The 21,086-nt window shown below is 43.4% G+C and overlaps 1 long non-coding RNA gene across 1 annotated transcript in view, besides 1 other annotated feature; it reads left to right on the top strand.

Annotated features, from left to right (window-relative positions):
* Window positions 1–21,086, top strand: part of LINC02885 (long intergenic non-protein coding RNA 2885) — a 241,252-nt gene that overhangs the window by 83,206 nt on the left and 136,960 nt on the right. Inside the window, exons 2-3 of the long non-coding RNA NR_138042.1 lie at window positions 11,948–12,088; window positions 16,755–16,875. This is a non-coding gene — a long non-coding RNA (long intergenic non-protein coding RNA 2885). The remainder of the gene's footprint in view (window positions 1–11,947; window positions 12,089–16,754; window positions 16,876–21,086) is intronic.
* Window positions 9,225–10,425: an enhancer, noted in NCBI's record as "CDK7 strongly-dependent group 2 enhancer chr22:35300277-35301476 (GRCh37/hg19 assembly coordinates)". NCBI's record gives its function as "activates an origin of replication core promoter dependent on BRD2, BRD4, P300/CBP, MED14 and CDK7 cofactors, with strong dependence on CDK7, by STARR-seq in HCT116 cells {active_cell/tissue: HCT116}" and the evidence as "EXISTENCE:reporter gene assay evidence [ECO:0000049][PMID:35650434]".

Below are 21,086 nucleotides of genomic sequence, written 5' to 3'. Positions count from 1 at the left end.
ATAAAATTATGCCTGTACCAAAGTTAAGGACAATTGGAAATAATGCCAAAGAATTTGTGAATTAGGGAGAATTTCAGTTTACATCTCCTTGTGATGTCAGTTGAGGATAACGAAGGGCTAGTCAGCAATGGATCCCTCTGTGTTTTACAATCCAGGGTCATGCAGTTTTTGCTAGCATCCACCACAAATGTAATTGCTGTGTATTTCCTTGTGTGACTCCATTTAAAGTCTTTTCTACCTACTAGATTCCAAGTGTGCTGAAGACAGAACCTCTCCCTCTTGTTTACTGCTGTTTTCTAATGTCTGACATGGGGAGCTTGGCCAATAAATTTTTTTTAATATGAATAAATGAATGAAGCCAAATAAAATCCACAGCTGGCGATGCCAGTGGAGTTCCTGCTCCCATTAATTCTCTCTCTCTCCTGGATTTCTGTGCTTGGTGTTGGACATGATTAATAAAGTATTCCAGGAAGAAAGGTGCTTAGATGGGTTTGGAAATTGGCATGCTGGGGTCTTGGCAGCACAGGCTCTACAAGCAGGGGGAGCAAGCTGGGGCCAGGTACGATAGTAGCTGGGGAAGTTGGCCCAGCCCAGAGGCTGGCTCCAGAAAGGACAGCTGGGAAGTCCAGGCATAGGGTCTGCATCCATCTCAGACCCAATTTTGGCAGTAGGGCTTGTTGAAGTAGCCAAACAGATGGGCGGCAATGAGCAATGGGGATAACAGGCAGAGGCTGACCTTGTGAGAACCACGGGGGCTTTGGTGGAAATTAGTGGTGAGTATTCTACTACAGCAGGACAGACAGGTCTGGTACCAGAGAGGAGGAGACCCACAAACACTGGAAATGACATGAGGCCCCTATAAAGGGTCTGAGGTGAGCCCCAGATTTTGAGAGGCATTGGGATATGATGCAGGTCACCCAGACAAACTCGAGTATGTACTCAGGTAGAGCACATCGACTACTAGAAGGGCTGTGGCTTGGGAACCACAAGACTCTCACCTGCCTCATGATTCCAGGATCCAGTTTGTCACAGCAACCTGGTGGTCTTGACTGGGCCTCAGGATCCCAAATTTGCATATAACCTAGATCTAAATTATAGAATCATAGAGAGGGAAAGCATTAGAACTATGTGACTGTCTTCTTTTGGAAACAGCTAAAGCCTGACCCCGAATATGAAGGCCCTACTTTTATTGAACTACGGAGAGCTAGTTCCCATTCATGAGACTAGGGTGAGCTTCAGAGGAGCTGTGATGTGGAGAAGGGGTACTAGGACCTCGTCCAAGAATGATGGGTATGAATTAAAGATATCACAGCTTGGGGTGGGCCCAGAAGACCCTAACACATGCTGGAGGGAACTTCAGAATCTTATTAGGACGATAGTGTCGAATATCACATCTTAAGGGCTGATGCAAGGTTGGAAACTGGAGAATGAATAATGAGAACCAACCTTTCAAAGATAAAAAGCTGCCTGGCTATGAAAAATTGAAGAACAAGTGGTCCATAGCTGAGTCCTTGTACAATCACATAATAAGTTTGCTGCTGCCTGCGACCAAGTGGGTGGAGGCTGAGGAGAGGTGGGAGGGCAAGAGCGCCTTGCTCAGCTGGATAATGGAGAAGGAGTACTCCAGTAGGAAACGATACTCTTACTTTAGAGATATTCTAGTCCCAGCTGCAAATGAGAGCCGTCCCCCTTGTCTGCTGCACACAGGCAAAGCTTTTACTTGTTAACTTCTATGGACACAGGTGTCTGCTACCAGCCAGGGGGCACCAGATTTTACCGGGTACTTGGGAAGAACTAATGGGAATGACCCCTGCTTGCTTTCTCCCACTTTTTCTGTCCCCAAGTAGCATCTAATAGCCTCCCTGAGGCCTTTTCTGGCTAATCTAGTTCTCATTTGGTAATCTCTACTCTTACTACCTGGACTGCTAACCTTTTATATAACACATGCAACCTAGAGGTTGTTCTCACAGGTGCTGACTTCTGTAAGTGATCTGTGTACATGACGGAAACCAATTTCTCCAAGTCCCAGCACATTCTAGCCCCACCCTATGCCCTAAGCTTCTCTCCTCTCACCCTTTCATCAAGCCTTGCCTTGAGCCCATCTCAGAAGCCACTTCAGGTGCTCTCAGCCTCACCTGTCTACCTGTCTTCAGGGCTTTTTGTTCTGGCCCCAGTTGCCCCTGTGGTGATCAACTGTACATGGCAGAGCCTGCTTCATGGCTATGTGGTCAGTGCAGTTGGACAGGGCCCTGGCTTTGAAGCGCTACACGCTTGCTTGAATGCTCTGCCATAGCCGTTTTGAAATTTGTAATCATTTTGAACAAGGGGCCCTGCATTTTCACTTTGCACTGGGCTGTGGCTATTTACACTATATGGATTTTGACCAGCTGCATGCTGGTTCAACCTGACCGTGCCTCTCCTATGTTCAGGGCTGCAAGCCTCTTGCTTCAAGCCCTAGAGTTTCCCTGTTGAAGCTGAAGTGTCAGGCACCTTGAGACTTGAAAGTGTTGTTTTTCTCTACCCACTTCACCCCAGGATGAACTCTTAACCCATGGGTTGTAGGAGTCAAGGGGTAAATTCTTCTTCCCTACTCCTCTCCCACCTCCTGGTAAAGCATCCCAAGATGCATTTGTAGAGGATGGGCCCGCAAGATCGAGGAACTGGTTGTTCCTGATGGTGGCTAGTTCGGTAGCTAGCACACCCCATGTGGTTCCTCCTTCCCCAACTCATTCCCTTTCATGGTCTCTCCTGCTTTGGGGATACACTCTCTGGTAGAGAAGCCGTGCTCATCAGTTGATAACTACATGATTTTTACTGATGTTTGTTAGAGTGAGTCACTGTTGACAAGTCTCAGGGAGACAGGTCCTGTCCATCTTCTCCATAAACAGCCTTTCCCAGCACCATGTAGGTACATTATTACCATAGGCAGCAGTGTGTGCTGTTTAGGAGCCTGGGTCCCCATCCATGATACTCTGCTGGGGTTCAAGTCCTGTCTCTGCTTAGTAGTCACAACTGTATGACTTGGCACTTTAATTTCAGATTCCTCTATAGACTAGAGATGATAACAGTTCCCACGTCAAAGAGTTGTCAACATTAAATAATTCTCATTAAAAATTAGCACAGCGTTTGGCATTTGGGAGGTTTTCATGTGCAGGTTAGCCATTATCATTATTCCCATGTGCTAGGTAAGACCTGTCTTTCAAGGCTGAGACACAAGTCCTAGGCCCCGAGACTGCTGAATCCACAGGTTTTCTGTCTAAAGAAAGGAAATGAGTGAGGTGTAATAAAACATGGGCTTTGGGGATGGACACATGTGACCTCAAAAGCCAGGTCTACCACAAACTGGCACATTGTCTACATTCTCTGTGCCCCGTCTCCTTATGTGGAGAATGGGGAGGATTATGTGTCAGGAGTGTTTTTGGCCAAAAATTCTCCCTGCCAGTCACAAAATTTATTATTTTCAGAGGATACTCAGTAAAAGGTTTGGAATGTCGAGAGACAGACATTTATTATAAAGTGTTTTATTTAAAAAAACTCTTTGTTTTTCATCCAAGATCCTATTAAGTAAAAATCTAATATTATCAGCCCTCTGCTGGTGAAGTCTTCTTCATCTCAGCAGATCTGGGGGCCTCTCCCCACCTTAGGTGGGTGGTGAGAGTGGGGACTAGGATAGGCGGGGCTAAGAAAGTGGGGGGAGGACCAAAGCTTCTCTGATTTTTAGCAGCCCCACCTCTTCCTTTATACCCAAAATGATTGACAGTACAGATTGACAGTTACACTTGGCTTTATCATTTGGGTGCCCTCAGAGGGAGTGCTTCCTTTATTCTGATTTTTTTTCCTCCAAATTGCTTGCTATAACTTATATAAATTATCTTCTTGGAACAAAATGGCTTAAGTGCTCTTAGAATTTACTCGCCTCTTCTATATGTTCAGAAGTAAAAGATGGATCATCATATGCAAATAGCCAAGAAGCTTTCTAGCAGAATATCAGGATTATTCAGAATTTTGGCACAAAAATCTACTTACTAGTTGAGATGGTAGCAGTAATAATAGGAAAAAGAACAAAAAATAATAAAAGCAGGAACTACTCTTTATTAAGCATGTACCTTCATTTTTAAAATTTATTAGGTATGTTGGTCATTACCATTCTTAACAAATAAGAAAACCAACTCGGAAAGGTTAAGTAATTTTCCAGAGAGAGCACAGTATTTAATGGCAAATAGCCAAGCTGGAACTCATATTTGGGTTTTATCTGACAGTTCTCATAAGTTTCCCTCTTATCTATTATACCATTTTGCCTCTCTCGGTTGTCATGGGGATTCAGGAGATGTGGTATATAGCGTCTGACACGTAGTAGAATGATGCTAAATATTAGCTCCCTTCCTCCTTTCTTTCCAAGGTCATTATCATTCAGTCCTACCTTTCCTCCTTTGATACAGACCTTAACTGTCCCAGTTGAAACATCATATTCTGGACCCAGTGTTATGAAATGAATCATTTATTTTCCATTACTATCTTTCCAGAGGGTCTCAAGTTCTGTCTTCTTTCTCTGGCTCACTTTCCCCATGACTGCCAAACTTGCAGTGATAGCCCCATCGTCTTTTGATTGCTGGAGGCTACTGGTCTTGGCGCCTCCATCATTTCTGCTCTGCTGGGCATCAAGGGGAAAGTGACTTCCTTCTCCAGACTTCTGGGCCAGCAAACACACATCTCACGGTGGAGTATTAGGCAGCTTCCAGGGTACCTTGTACACTGTGGTTTTGTGTCCGCCAGCGGTAGTGTTCACGGCTCACCTACATCCATTGTCCTGATATACGCAGTGACCAGAGTGTAAAGTACAATCTCAGAAATTCCAGAAAGAGGAGAGAGGAAGAGTGCTAATGAAAATTACTGTGATGATAATGATAACATTTCTTGAATGCCTGCTATGTGCTATACCACTAGTATTAGTAGTATTAGTTCTACTAATACTGTAGAACTAAATATTTTATTTACATGAGTTGTCTCATCAAATTAATATAACACTATTCAATAGGTGCTTTTATTTCTATTGTGGTCACTCTCAGCACTGAGAAGAGTGCCAGACAAGAAACTCAATCCTTATTTGTTAAATCGTGAATGAGTCTCCCTTTCATTGAAGCCAGAGGGGTTAGGTAACTTACTTAAGGTCATACAGTGAGTGTAGATTTTAACCCAGGGAATCTGAATCCAGAGCGTGTTCTCTGCACCATTATGAACTACTGTCTCCTGTTAATGAGAGGCTAAATGAGAGGTAGGAGGTCTTAGGAGAAGGAGCCCTAAACTTCTAGTCAAGAGCTGAATTCAAGTCCCAGTTTTGCCACTTACTAGTTTTGAGCAAATTTCTTAACTCTCAAAGACAGACACTGTTTATTGGCCAATACCCTACTGCCTAGCTGCCTCCACTACAGAGGGTTGAATTGTGCTCCCCTCCCCTTCAAATTCATATGCTGATGTTCCTCAGGGATGTGAGTTTATTTGGAGAGAGTCTTTGCAGAGGTAATCAAGTTAAGATCAGGTTATTAGCATGAAGCCTATTCCAATATGACTCTTGTCCTTGTGAAAAGGGGAAGGTTGGACACAGAGACATGCAGAAAGAGAAGATGAAGTGAAAAGAAACAGAGAGATGATGACCATCTACAAGCCAAGGAGCAAGGCCTGTAACAGAGGTTTCCTTCGCAGCTCTCAGATCGAAGCAACTCTACTGATATCTTGATCTTGGACTTCCCAGGCTCTAGAGCTGTGCGACAACAAATGTCTGTTGTGTAAGCAACCATGTCTGTGATATTTTGTTGTCTATGGCAGCCCTAGCAAACTAACACAGGCAGGTAAAAGAACCATGGCGGATTGCCTTGCAACTAGGGCCAAAGCTGTGATAGTGTGAGCTGATAAAATATGAGCAAAGAGGATGCTGGGAGGGGTTCTGGGGAAGTCTTGCTTCCTGGGAAGGGAGGCTGTTGTCACTAGTTCATTCATTCCCTGCATCCTGCCTTGACCATGGATGTGATGTCTGGATCATTTTATGATTAAAAGGAAAGTGCAAGAGAATCAGAGACACCAGCCCTGCCGCCATTGCCTGGCCCATCCCTGACTAATTCTAGATAAAAATAAACTCCTCTTTTCTTAAACCACATGGGTCAGGCCAGCTGTTACTTGCAGCTGAACAAATTCCTGATACACTCTCAGAATGAGCTTCTTCTTCTACAGAGTGAGGATGATCAGATTCATGGGGCTGTAGAGCAGATGAAATGAGAATCTACAGAAAATGGTGCTGTGAATGGTAAAACACCATGTAACTGTGAGTTATCATCACAATAAACAAAAACCTCCCCAAAGCTATCATCTCCATTTAGAGCTTGCTCCCAAGCCCTGACTCATAAAGTCCTGTGTTGGTTCTTCCACCAAGGAGCCAGATGGGCTGAAAGACATTTTGTTTCCAGTCGTTTAGCATGATTATTAAGTAACGCTGGAAAGAGGCCTAGAGATCATTTAGTTCAAATGCCTTATTTTATGGATGAGGAAATTGGGGCCCAGAGAGGCTGAGTGACTTGTCCAAGGTCACAGAGCAAGTCTTTGATAGAGTCAGACCTTGAGTCTAGATGTCTTTGGATTTCAGAGCATGGCTACTCCCTACATAAATTAGGCGGACTCTGAGATTCATGTGAGAGTTTGTATTTAAGGGTTGATTGGCTAAAATGATTTTTGGACTTAGGGCCCAGGCAAGGGGAACCCTCCCATTTCCCCTCTTGTCAAAGCAGATGTGATCTCTTCATTTCCAGATCTCTGATCTGACCTCTTCTGAGCACATACATAGTCCCAGCACCAGTGGGGTTTATTTTCTTGTCTTGCTTTCCCTGCCACCATTAATAACACCAGTTACCACTGTTGACCACTTATCATGTGCCGGGCACTTTATAAACATTATCTTAAATACAACTGGAGTTAATGCAATGACGTAGGTACTACTGTCCCCATTTATATATACTGAGAGGAGTTGAGATCAAGCTACTTTCTTTGGATCACCCTATTAGCAAGTGGATGATGGCACCTTTCTCCTGGCCATGTGATAAAGACTTTTCAGTTCAGTTTGATTTAGGTCAATAAGTTTTCAATTCTGGCTGCCTTGCTGTGTGCTGGGGATAAAGTAGTGAACAAGACAGTGCCCATGCTCTCAAGGAGCTAACAGTGAGAGGAGATGCATTAATCAAGAGACTATGGTGCAAGGATTGTGGGTACATGCTCTGCACCCAGACAGGCTGGGCTTGAGTCCTGGCTGTGCCACTTTTTGGCTGTGTGACTTTGGGTACTTTATCTCTGTGTGCTTTGGTTTTTTCACCTGTAAAAGAGGAATAATAATAATACCTCTGTATTAGTTCATTCTCATGCTGCTAATAAAGCCATACCCAAGGCTGGGTAATTTATAAAGGAAAGAGTTTTAATGGACTCACAATTCTACATGGCTGGGAGGCCTCACAATCATGACAGAAGGCAAAGAAGAAGCAAAAGCATGTCTTACATGATGGCAGGCAAAGAGAATGAGAGTCAAGCGAAAGGGGGAAAACCCTTATAAAACCATCAGATCTCATGAGATTTATTCACTACCATGAGAACAGTATGGGGGAACCACCCTTATGATTCAATTATTTCCCACAGAGGCCCTCACACAACACGTGGGAATTATGGGAGCTACAATTCAAGATGAGATTTGGGTGGGGACTCAGCCAAATTATATCAACCTCCTTCATAGATTATTGTGAGGATTAAAGGAGTTGATACATGCCAACTGCTGAGGACTCAATACATTTTAGCTAGTATTATTTTTAGTGTATTCACTCTGCACCTATGTATTCTTCTATACAGTCTCTCTTGCCTCTAAGCATTCATTGCTGGGCCTGTTGGTTTCAGAGTTGGTTTGGTTACCTTGAATGGGTGATGATCTCTACACTCTATTCAACTGGTCTTTATTGGACAACTCTAGGAAGTAAAGCCAATGGAAGTTGTCACCTACTTTTGGTAGAGTACAAGGGGGCTGGTCTTAAAATTCATTGGTCTGTGCTCCTCCAGTGTTGGAGGTGGTGGGATTTGGGTGTGTCTTGGTCCTTCTTTCTACTCATCTCTTCAGCAGGAAAATGAAGGTACTCTGCCCAGTGAATTTATAAGGGCTTCTCTGGCTTGAAGGTCTGATTGTTTGATGTTGTCATTGTAAGACAAGATACACAAAAGACCATCAGAAAAAATATAAGACAAATATATAGTGCTCATATGCATGGTATCAACAACAACAACAATAAAATCCACACAAAAGAGAGTGTGGAGGGTTAGGGATCAGTGTGGGCTGGCGTTTTCAGGAAGCCTCATAATTTCTCTGATAAACTAAGAGGGTAGACTAGATCATCTCTAAGTTTCATTATGCTAGCAAAGTTTCTAGAAGCCCATGATTTTACGAGATCGACCTTATTGCAGTATTAAAAGGCAAGCTGGATGTGGGTTGCTGAAGAGAAGTTGAGGATAGCAAGAGGACAAGAGGTCAGAGAGCAGTCCTGGTCATAGCCTTCTCCAAGCATGTGAAGGAGCAGGCACCACACTTGGTGAGATAAAAAGGCCATGACCTTTTATCATGGTCATGGCAGGACCATGACTTTCAGGATCTCCAGCTTAGGCCAGAGGAAGGCAGGACCTGACTTTCAGGATCTCTGGCTTAGGCTCTGGGGAGGCTGTGATGAGTCTGGAACTTTGATGGGAGGGAAGGCCTGGGAGGGAAGGTAAGTAAGAATTTATGAGCCTCTGTGGGTGAAAAAACCCCATAAACTCAAAGTGTGTTTGTCTATTCTGTTACTCAACACCACAATCAATACAGACAAAAGACTTCTGTGTCCGAATGTGAAGGGTTTCTCCCCACCAACAAATAAGCAATCAATTCTGCAGCAGACACCAGCTGGGTGTCCTCTAAGGACACCCTGTATCTAAGGGTTGATTGGTTAAAATGCTTTTTGGATTTAGGGCCCAGGCAAAACCATCTCATATGCCCTTTTGTCAGAGCAGATGCGATCTCTTCATTTTCAGATCTCTTATCTGACCTCTTCTGTCTACCTGGAAGCAGCGTCAGATCCCACAGGGTGAGGGCTCAGTCCCACAGGACTTCTCCCCTACCCTCCTCCTGCTTCAGACACCAGTCACAAGTCCAGGCCTCCAAACTTCTGACCAACAAGCTTCAAGTTGGGGTTCCCACGACTCCCTCTTTGGGTTCGATTAATTTGCTGGAGTTGCTTGCAGAACTCAGGGAAACAATTATGTACTTGTTTATTATAAAGGATATTACAAAGGATACAGATAGTAGATGCATAGGGTGAGGTATGGGGGAAGGGTGCAGAGCTTGCATGCCCTCTCTGGCGGGCCACCCTCCAGGAACCTCCATGTGTTCAGCTATCCAAAACCTTCCTGAACTTGTCCTCTTGGGCCCTTTGTGGAGACTACTTTGCACAGGCATGATTGAAACATGGACAACCATGTCAAAATATGATTGGGCCTCTCTGCAGCATTCTCCCCTCCAGGGTATGAGGCAGGATCCTCTGTGGAGCGAGGGTCTCAATCAGAAAGGCAGGGGAAGATTGGAGTCTTGCTTTGAGCTGGTGAAAGGTGGGCAGGGGAAGGTCAGAGAGAGAGACAGATTCTGTTTTCTGAGGCCTGCTTCTGAGGCCTAAAGCTCCCCAACATCATAACAAAAAACTGTGAGTTATGAGCCAGGAACTGTGGGCAAAAACCAACATATACATATATCATAATATCGCGGCCTCATTTCTAAATTGGAGCCTCTGTCTTCCAGTGGAGCCAGACCGATGTGGGTTTCAAAGCCTCTTCTTCCAAATTATATCTAGATAGTGGGGGAAATGATTGCAAATCTCTGAGCCTTAATTTCCTATGGAGAAAATGGGGATTAGGCACACCCCATGGTGCTATTGTGAGAATTCAATAAAATATGTTGACCACAGAGTAGATATTTAATAAATAACTGCCTTTGTGACTCATAAAGGCAATTTTGGATGTCATCAGATTTTTTCTGAAGGGTGGGTCACTTGCTTGGTAAGAGTTATTTATTGGGGAAAATGAATGTCTTTACTTACTGAATAATATTAGTTGGATTATTTCCCCTCTCTGTGTCTCAGTTTCTTATTCTGTAAAATGGAGAACAACATTTATATTATAGAATAATTAAAATCCAGTATATCAGTACATATAAGGAGCTTATAACAGTGCCTGGCATAGAGCAAGGGTTCATTATATGGTGACTCATTATTATTCTATTATTATTATCATCATCATCATCTTATTACTATTATTCTTTTTTTTACTTGTCGGCAGAAGAATACAATGAAGTTCCCCAAAACAGTCTCAGATATTAAAAATTCCAGATGTTAGAAGAAACTTTGTCGACTTAGCTTAGACAAGAAATATTTAATAACCTGGGAAGATAGACGGGATGAAAATGTGCAGATTGCTCCTTGTGCAAATTGCTGTAGCTTGGAGCCCTGATGAAAGAAAGGCTCTTGCCTCTAAGAGTTAAATTTGTAAGACTTCTCCTTCCCCTACTTCCCTAAAACCACTCAGCTTAATCTTAGGACACCTGCTACATACTGTCAACTCAGGATGTGGCAGGGCTGCCATTTCACCTGTTGCCATGATCTGAGTCTTGTGAATATTTCTAGGGACTCACACTGAGATCCTCAGTCACAGAAAGACCAACAAGAACCTTAGGGACAGGTAATGTGGTGAAGAGCAGGGCTCGAGGAAATGTGGCCCATCAGCTTGTTCTGTTGTCCTGCTCATTGATTTAAGACAGAGGAAGCTTTCTTTATAGAGATCCTCATGTCAGCATCTCTTGAAAGATACGATCTAGCAACAATCAGTTGGAGTTGAAGGCATGGTCTCACAGTTCCACACGCCCTACCTCTCCTTATTGCCTTTCGTCTTGGCCCACTTACACCCTTGCATGTTACCTGCCTGTACTGCAGGCATTTATATTCTCTCTCTATCTCTCACCATTCCCACAAGAACACCCTGGGCTGAGTCATCCTCCCTGAATGTGGCATACTCCCTGACCCCATTACTGAGGGGCTTGGCCTTGTGATTTGCTTTGGGCAATGGGAAGTTAGTAGATGATGTAAGAAAAGGCTTGAAATGTGCTTTGGCGGTAGAGCTGTCTTGGGGCTTCTCTTGCCCTGAGAAGAGTATCTTGGCCATCATGGCCCAGCTAATTCACAGGTAGGTGCCTAGGAATCCATAATGGAGGTTTTACATTGCTGAGATTGATGGATGTTTATTATGCAGCAGTAGCTGATTAATACACTGGGTTCTAATACAAGATCTGCCTGTAACTCTCTGTGTGAATTTTTTCAAGCCATTTTATTTTTCTGGGCATCAGTTCTACATCCTCCAGTCTTCAAAATGGGCAGAATTAGACACGATTTTCTCAAAGTACCCATTGGTTTGTAATAATCTATTTTTAAAATAAGGACTGAAGTTCTAAGGAATGGATACTGTGAATTTTTCCTCTCCCTACATTCCTTTTGAATTCTATTGTTTGGATGTTGCCTTTAATGTAAATATATTTAATTTGATAATTTATTCCACATGCAAGAAGTTAAGAGGAAAGAGGAGAAGAAAGAACTAACATATATTAAGCACCAGCTTTGGATTAGATGTTTTACAAGTGACATGTACTTTAATCCTCAGCACATTCCTATGGTAGGTTTGATTATTCTTGTTTTATAGATAAGAGGCTCAGAGAGGTCACGGGACCCACCTAAGTCCATCCAGCTAGTAAATTGCATGCTGAGATTTAGACCTAGGTCTATTTGTTTGCGATAATCTTCTGTAATAACCTAAAATTGTACTTCTTACTTATCCTTCTGTTTATTTTCTTTTGTCACAGAAAGTGCTCCCGGTGCCTGTGGTCCATAGAGTGGAGTGAGTCTCTAAGCAAATCTGGAGGGACTCTGGGAGCTGAAGATTCAGAATATCTCCACTTATTCTTGCCATAGCCTTTGCTGCTCAACTGTTGGGTGCCATGATGGTATGAGCTGTTCCCTTCCTCAGCCTTTCCTGGCTCCTTCCATGAGCCAACTGATCTGTGGCAGCATTTTAACAGCCTTGGTCCCTCTATTTGTAGAGGTGTTAGCATGAGTCACACAAGGATCTGGAAGCTTTGAAGGAGACTGATACCACAATGCAGGAACTCTATAAGGATTCCAGGGAGGTAACACACACCAAGGGATTGGCACTTAAGATATCACTCTCCCTCTTCTTTTTCTCAATCAATGAGATTTGTAGACATTATCTCATTTTAAATATTTATATATATTGATACGGCACAATGGCTCTATGAGGTTGATATTATCATCCCCTGCCCTCTTTTCTCTAATAATGCATCTGAGCATCAGACTGTAAGTCAATGATTTGAACCCAATTCTTCTTGGCTTCAAAGCCTTGGTGCACAATCACTCCATTGGACCACTAGGTACCTGCAAGTCTCTGCTTTGGACTTCTCCTGAGCTTCAAAACTCAGGTATTATTAGAGCACCATAAGTGATAGATTTTCAGGTGTATGCATGTGTTTCTACCCAGCAGTGCAATTAATGAGCTCTTGAGGGTATGTGTGTAGAAGACATGTTCTTTACTCCCTAGGAACTATGTAGAAAGTCACCAGGACACCAAATTTCAATGTCTTTGCAAAGGACTAGGCCACAACCTCATTGGAGATTTTTTTTTCATTTTTTTTCTTATGCTCACATTCATGCTATGATTTATTTATTTATTATTTATTTATTTATTTATTTATTTATTTATTTATTTATTTGAGACAGAGTCTCACTCTGTCACCCAGGCTGGAGTGTAGTGGCATGATCTCAGCTCACTGCAACCTCCGCCTCCCGGGTTCAAGCGATTCTTCTGCCTCAGCCTGCTGAGTAGCTGGGACTACAGGTGTGTGCCATCTCACCTGGCTAATTTTTGTATTTTTATTAGAGATGGGGTTTCATCATATTGGCCAGGCTGGTCTTGAACTCCTGACCTCATAATCCACCCACCTCGGCCTCTCAAAATGCTGGGATTACAGGCGTGAGCCACTGTGCCCGGCCCATGCTATGTTTTATAGTTTGAACAGCTCCTTTGTAGCCATCATTTCATCTGATTTTCCTTACCACTGATAGGACAGACAGGGAGACATCATTTTCACTTTTCAAGGGAGGAAATTGACACCCAAAGAGGCAGAATGACTTGCCTGGGTTTGCACAGCTGCTTTTGAGAAATACTGCAAATGAGATCCAAATCTCCCAGCCCATCTAGAGCTCTCCTCCAGAGCAAAGAGCAACTCCAAATCAGGGTTAAGAAGGAAAACTCTGGTAAAAGGATATATTTTCTTTTTCTTTACTCATTTCTCTCAAATTTCCCAAGGATTTCTCTTCATTTTCTCTTCCAAACCCCTCATTTTATTTAAAGGAGCAGCATGGCTCACTGGCTGGGTAAGAGCCTGGAGACCGAGAACCTGAAGACCAGGGTTATGATGGTGATAATTATGGTGATGATGATGGTTACTTTGTTACCTTATATAAAGCCCAGATCTCCTCCAGAGTTCAGTTTTTCATGAGGAAAATGAGGTCAATAACAAAGAATACTCATCAGTGTGCTTTGAGATTATACACCAATGTTGAGTGCTAGAGGCTGAAACTGGCCTAAAGAGGTTTAGATTGAGACAAACGAATGGAAGAACAGAAGAGGAAGCACCCTGCTCTCTGTGCCTATAACCTCTTTATGTAATAAGAGCTCACATTTACTAAGTGCTATGTATGTTTCAGTTTTAGATTCCAATTGTTCATTGCTGCTTTATAGGAAAGCAATTGACTTTTGTATATTAACTTTGTATTCTGCAATTATGCTATAATTACCTACTAGTTCCAGGAACTTTTCTGTTGATTCTTTGGAATTTTCTACATAGGCAATCATGTTATCTGTACATATAATACATATAAACAAAGTGCTTTATATTTAATCTTCATTAATAATGCTAAGAGGTTGGCTTAATTATTTTATAGATGAGGTCACTGAAATACAGAGAAGTTCGTAATTCAACCAAGTCTGTGCAGCTAAAAGGTGGCAGAACTGCAAGTTGAACCTGGCAGTCTGTTTCCAAGCTCATGCTCTTGACCCACAAGACATTGCTTTGCAGGATTCACATTTGCCACCATCTCACAGGTATAAGGGGACATGATATCTAAGTTTAACTAATAGGCCCAATACTTCACCCTTCCCTGGATCTGTGCCTCTGCAATGTAACTTAGCAGGGCTCTCACCCTATAGGTAGGCATGCTTCTCCACCCTTTGATTTGGGGCTCTGTCATGTGACTCACTTTGGCTAATAGAAAAAGACAAAGTGATGGTGTGCCAGCCCTGAGTCCAAGCCTCAAGAGCACTTGCTTGTCTCTTTCTGCTCCTTTGTGCTGCTGCCTTTGCTAGGAGAAAAACATGCCTGGGCTAGCCTGCTGGCCCCCAAAGGTAGGAGGATGAGAGAGATCATCCTCTGTGGATGTAGAGCTGAGCTATATCCCAGCTAGGTTGCTTCCACCAGGACATTCTAGAGTCAGGCCTAGAGTGGATCCACCACTCCCCCTACCTCCACTGGCCACAGATGGATGAGGGACCCCAGCTGAGGTCAGCCAAACTCCAGCTGATCCCCCAGACCAGTGACAAATAGATGTTCAGGTTTTGTGGTGGACTTTTCCTCAGCAATAGCTAACTGATACTCGTGGCAACTGTGAAAAGAGCAGAGTTTTTGAATCAAACATGCTTTTAAATCACACTTTTACCAGTTATTAATTGTGCAATCCTGAACAAGTTACTCAAACTCTTTGAACTTCAATATTCTCATCACAATGGGGATAATAACATCTACTACTAGAGACATTGTATTAATGGGATAAGCAGAAGCATTGACTATGGTGTCTGGCACGGACTGTGTGCTTAATAACCATGGGTTGTCCTCATTTTCCCAATTGCTCTTATCATTCTACATTTAGTGCTTATCATTAAGCATTTCATGTATATCCATGTTCACAGGCTGTGGGATGGGCTCTGTGCACAGTGAATGAGGTTAATGGTCACTATCAAGGTCACATGGAGCTTGGTGGCAGTGGCCCAGAGAGGAACTATGTCTGGAAAGTCTTGATAAGAGGGGCTAGGAAAGGATCTGGCCAGGCAGACCCTGGGGCCAAAGCAGAGAGCACTCTAGGGCCATGGCAAGACTCAAGTTTCTCTGGATACTGGGGCATGGACCTGCATTTTGGGCAGAGATTTAGATGATTTGGGAGAAAAGACAATCATTGGAACTGGAGTATCAACTCTGTATCACAATCTATTGTCACAATAATGCCATGTGACAAATCACCTTACAACTGTGGTTGAAAACAAGAAACATTATCAGCCATGAATCTGTTGGTCACCTGGGAGGTTCTTCTGCTTTTAGATGGGCTCATGTAGTTTCTGCAGTCATCTATGGGCTTGGTAGGAAGTCTGTGGATCTTGGAAGGGCTCTCTCTCTGCATAGTGGGCTGTAGGCTGTCTTCTCATCCTGCAGCAGGCTAGTTTGGGTGTGGTCCCATGCTACCTGGGCATGTTCTCATGATGGCAGAGGTGTGAGAGTGGGGGACAGAGAGAGAGAGAAAGAGAGAGAGAACAGAAGTGGACAAATCCTCTTTAGGCCTATGCTTCTATCACATTCTATTTGCCAAAGCAATTCACACAGCCAGCCCAGATTCAAGGAGGTAAGAAAAATGGACACCATCTTTAGATGTGTGTGTGTGTGTGTGTGTGTGTGTGTGTGTGTGTGTGTGTGTGTGTGTGGTCGGGTGGTGGGGAGTTCAATATCCCATTTGAAAGGGCATAGATACAGGAAGGCCTTTAATTGGGGGCATCGCTACAATCAATCTACCATAGCTCATACCTGGAATGGCCCAGTTACTAGGTGTAGGGATCGAGGTCACAACATGAATAGCAGCCAGAATCATTGATTTTGGGTCACCAACCGCTGGCCTAGGCTGTTAAATTTCCCCTGATCAGGTCTAGGATTGCGATAGAGCTGGTAGAAGATAGACGTTCTGAGTTGAAGGCATTGGGCAATGTGGGGGTTGGAGCCAGGCATATTTATGTCCAAGTAGAGCAGGAAACACAAGGAAATAAAGTGTTAGCAATGCGTGTAGGCAGCCGGGGGACAGCTCTTGTGTGATGAGAATTGTTTGCCAGCAAAACTGTATGGTGGGATATGGAATAGCATTATAAACCCCCTTACCCCACCCTGCCAATTAACTTCCAACAGAATCTATGTGCGAAGTAGGTTTCCTTTTGAGAATATGAAAGTAATACATGAGAAATAAGAAAAATTGGTCTAAGTCAGAAACATTGAAAAACAAAATAAAACAAATCATTCAGTTTAATCAGCCAAAGACAATCACTGTTAACACCGAAATACATTTCTCTAACCACCTTTTTTCTCCTGCATACATATATGTTTATATATATTACACCCAGTATAAATAAGCATTTAAAAAACCACAGTCTTTAAGGAGATTTGCTTTTATGTTGTTTGTTTTTGTGGCTTTAGAGAATATAATCTTGACTACAATAATTTCAAGTATCCACATATATGTATCTAGAATAAGAAAGGTTTTGCTTTTTTTTTTTTTTTTTAGATGGAGTCTTGCTCTGTTGCCAGGCTGGAGTGCAGTGGCGCAATCTCAGCTCACCGCAAACTCCGCCTCCTGGGTTCAAGTGATTCTTCTGCCTCAGCCTCCTGAGTAGCTGGGATTACAGGTGCGTACCACCACACCCAACTAATTTTTATATTTTTGGTAGAGACGGGGTTTCACCTTGTTGGCCTCGATCTCCTGACCTCGTGATCTGCCCACCTTGGCCTCCCAAAGTGCTGGGATTACAGGCATGAGCCACTGTGCCCTGCCTTGCTTTCTATTTTTAAAGGTAAAAATAACAGAATGACTTAAACCAAAATTCTTCCAGAATAGGAGATATACAAAATTTAGTCATAACATCCACAGCATAAACAAACACCAAATAGAGGATTCCATTATTGATCTCCAGCTCCCCACACTAAGGAACTGGTGTGAGCTCTTGGCCAGTGAGATTGGCAGACCTATCCAAATTCAGGTCTGGGTGGCATCTGTGTCTTTGAGGATATGCTATGTGGACTCTCCTGAGAGTTCCACATTGCTCAGTGTGGAAGATTGGAGTATTGGAAGATCTGGCTCTTGTTTTCAGACCTTCTAACTGGCATGAGTTCATTGAGAGTCATCACTTAGGCACTTGCTCCAAGTTTGCTTTAAGAGTTAGATCTTTATCAGCTGGTTTCCATGGACAATATTGCTTCCTTCAATGTATCTCTAATGTGCCATCCCTCTGAGTTTCCTGTTGTTGAGAGTGTTTGTGTGTCTGTGCCGCTAGGTTTATGTTTATGTCTCCTTCTCAGTCTCTGTCTCTTTTCATGCCCTGGGGAAGCTTGTATTCTCTGTGTTGGGTCTGGGTGGCAGAAGGGGAAGACAAGCTGTATCAGTAGAATGGGCACTTAAAACCCAAGTGCAAGAGCCACTTTCAGTTTGGGTTTCAACAGCACATTAACCCATTCCTTTTAAACAGTCCCAGTGCTTCCTGCATATCACCAATAAACACCTCCCCAGATGCAGTAATGGAGCATGAAACATTCCTCCTACTCATTTCCCAGCCTTTGTCATAAGATGACAAAGGCATACTTTTCTTGTATAGTTGTGTTCATATTGCCCGTAAGTCTTGAAATCCTATTTCATGTAACATTACTTTAGCAGTATTTCTCTGAGCTCTTATATATTCTAAGAAAGTGCCCTTTGTGATGGTTAAATAATATTCCACTGCATGAACCACTTAAAAATATTAATTCCCTTATAACTGAACATTTAGCTTGCTCTTAATATAGCTAGTATATATAGTGAACACGTACACATACAGCTTTTATCTTTCTTTCCGAATTTAGGATCATTTCCTTGGGATAGATTTCCAGAAACAGGATTATTCAGAACAATAAATGCATGGCCATTTAAAAAAGACTTCTGAAACAGTCTTCTAAATTACTCTTCCAAAGGTTGTACCAATTGAACCTCCCACTGGCGATGGATCAGAGTGACGGTTCACTGCCAAGAGGTAGCGTTTCCAGTAGTTACTTTGAACAATGGAAGAGAGTAAGCCCAGGGAGCTTCAAAGCTGTTTCAGATAAAAGGCATGATTTGAAAAGGCAGATAGTTGGCAGACCTTGTAGCCGGGGGTGTTTAGCTGGGGAAGCATAATGCCAAAAAGCCAGGGAACGAATTTTATGGATTTCACAGGATTTCAGGTGTTCTACTCTCCCAGCTTCAACATGGTTTCCCCGGAACTCCTTGGCCATCAATGCCCAACTCAATTGCCCCCTCCTCTGCAAAGCCTTCCTTGGCCCCCGAGTGGACTTGAGGGAGGAATTCTTCTTTTGTGCTCCCTTAGACTCTGAATGTTATAGTACTTACGACACAGTACCACATCTGTACTTGAGTTCTCAGTAGCCCAGGAGCCTACTTTAGGCAGGGACCGAAGTACACTAATTTCTTTGTCTTTTACAAATTTCACTTTACTGCCTTGCTCATGGTAGAAGTTCCTAGAGATTTGTTGATAGGATGGATGGACCAAATGGGCTCTCTGTCAGCTTGACATGCTCCATCCAAGTAGCTGCCCTGACCTTCCCTCACACATAGATTTTCCATCTCCAAGGCAGTGACCTTGCAATCCAGTTGAACATTGCTGCTCATGTCTTGCTTGACTGCTGGTCTCTGTGTCCTCTCTCTCCTTACACTTACCTGCAAGCTTATGCAAGTTCCTGACCCCATCCTCATTGATACCCTATTCTGTTGACCTCTTCCCTTTCTCTATAGCCCTGTTCCTACATCCTGTACCACCCTGGCTCCCAGTGTCTGCTCTATTACAGAGGGTTAAAGACTACACCCCAGGCTCTGGGGCATATTCTGATTGATTAAGTTGCTCACACAATAAATATTTTCTTAGCACTTACTACGTGCCGGGTATTATTCTAGGGACTGTATTGATCTAGAGAAATAGTAGATAGCAAGACAGGTAAAATCCCTGCTCCCATAGAGCTCACCTTCTACTTGGGGGCACAGTGAAAAAGTAAACAAACAAACAGGAACATTCCTATTAGTTTTCAGTGCCATGAAGTGGGGGGCGGAGGGCGAGAGAAAGTGGAATTGGATGCTTCCCCAGCATGGGTGGCTAGGGAAGGTCTTCCATTTGAGCTGAGGCTTGAATGACAAAAAGGAACCATCTAGGGGGAAAAAACTGGAAATCAGAAAGTTCTAAGCAGATGGATCAGCCAATGCAAAGGGCCACAGAGTGCTAATAGCCTAGTGTGTTTGGGAAATGCAAAAAAAAAGAATATGCAGCTAAATTATGGTACAAGAGAGGAAACGTGTTGAAGGATGAAGTCAGCAGAGCCCAGATGATTGAGGCCGTCATGGGCTAAAGGAAGAAGCATCAATTTTATTCCAAGGGTGACAGAAAGCCAGTGTAGAGTTTTAAGTAGAAGAAGTTGTGATTAGATTTACACTAAAAAATACATCCACCTGCTTGCTGTTCAGAAAGTGGGTTGTGGAGAGAAGGGGAAGCTCTGGGGAGACCAGTAAGCAGGGTCTGACCAGTTACCCAGGCAAGAGGTGATGGTGGCGGTAGCAGAGATAGAGAGAAGTAGCTGGGTGTAGGTTAGGCTTTGGCAGTGGAAATTCTGGGGATGAGGGCAAAAGATAACTCTAGGGTGGTTCTAAGGTGTTTGCCTACATGACTAGTTGAATGGTGGTTCCTTGAAAAACACCAGGGAAGGACTAAGGATTTTTTTTTCCCCAGCAGAATGTTGGGAAGGAGCCAAGAACCAATAATTCTTCCTTGGGTGCCAGACCCTCCAGGTCTGGCCCTCTGACTTGGTCTTTCCAGACTGGTCTGGAGACTTGGGTCTCATGTTTGAATCCCAGCCAGTGAGGACTTGGAGGGGTACATTCCCAGATGCGTGTTCTGCTGGTGCACTCTGTCCTTCCTGACCCCATCCTCACTGATACCCGATTCTGTTGACCTCTTCCCTTTCTCTATAGCTCTGTTCCCATGCTCTGTACCACCCTGGCTCCCAGTGTCTGCTTCACTATAAAGAGTAAAGTTTATAGCATCACCATGCAGGTATGAGCCATAGCTGACCAGGTCTTTAGCTAGAAATAGTGGCTAGCACCTATATGGTATTTATTATATACCAGGCACATATCTTGGCTCAGTCTGCACAACAGTCCTATTCAGTTGCTACTGTTATTATCCCCATTGTACAGATGGGGAAATTGAGGCACAGAGTGTTCATATAACTTGGCTGTGGTCCTACAGATGCCAGGTATCAGAGTTGGGAGATGAACCCAAGGTATCTGGATCTGCAGCCTATGTGCTAAACTGCTAAGCTCTGCAGAATCATAAGTAAGATGGCATCAGTCTCTCCCCTGGTACATTGGCTAGCCCAACATGCTGAGGGCTCACTAATATTGCAACTTTTGATTCTAGGTCACTGTATTTACTTTGCCTTCTCCAACACTGTTGCATCAGAGAATGAAAGGAAGGTTGAATTCAAGGTATAGAGGTGTCAAGAGAGAAGCAGATCACGAATGAACCATCCCTACTGAGGCATTTGTTCATTGAAAATAGATTAGTTGAATGCAATCCCATGCTTGGCATGTGTGACAGTAATGGGCAAGACAATATGTCTCCTGCTTTCATGGAATATATGTTCTCCTTCCCAGTATTGCATCTTCCACAGCATGTGTAAGTACCCCCATCCTTTTCTGTCCCTTTACCTCAACCCAGGCTCTGGGAAGTCCTTGTTCATGACTTCTACTCAATTCTGTAATGCTTATTACCCTTCCTGGCTGTGCACACTCTGTTCTACTCTCAGCCTTTGTTCTAGGGATTTT

The sequence above is a fragment of the Homo sapiens genome, chromosome 22 (genome assembly GCF_000001405.40).
Source record: "Homo sapiens chromosome 22, GRCh38.p14 Primary Assembly".
Classification (NCBI taxonomy): domain Eukaryota; kingdom Metazoa; phylum Chordata; class Mammalia; order Primates; family Hominidae; genus Homo; species Homo sapiens.
Note: the sequence above shows the minus strand (reverse complement) of the source record. Positions and strands in the feature narration are given on the sequence as shown.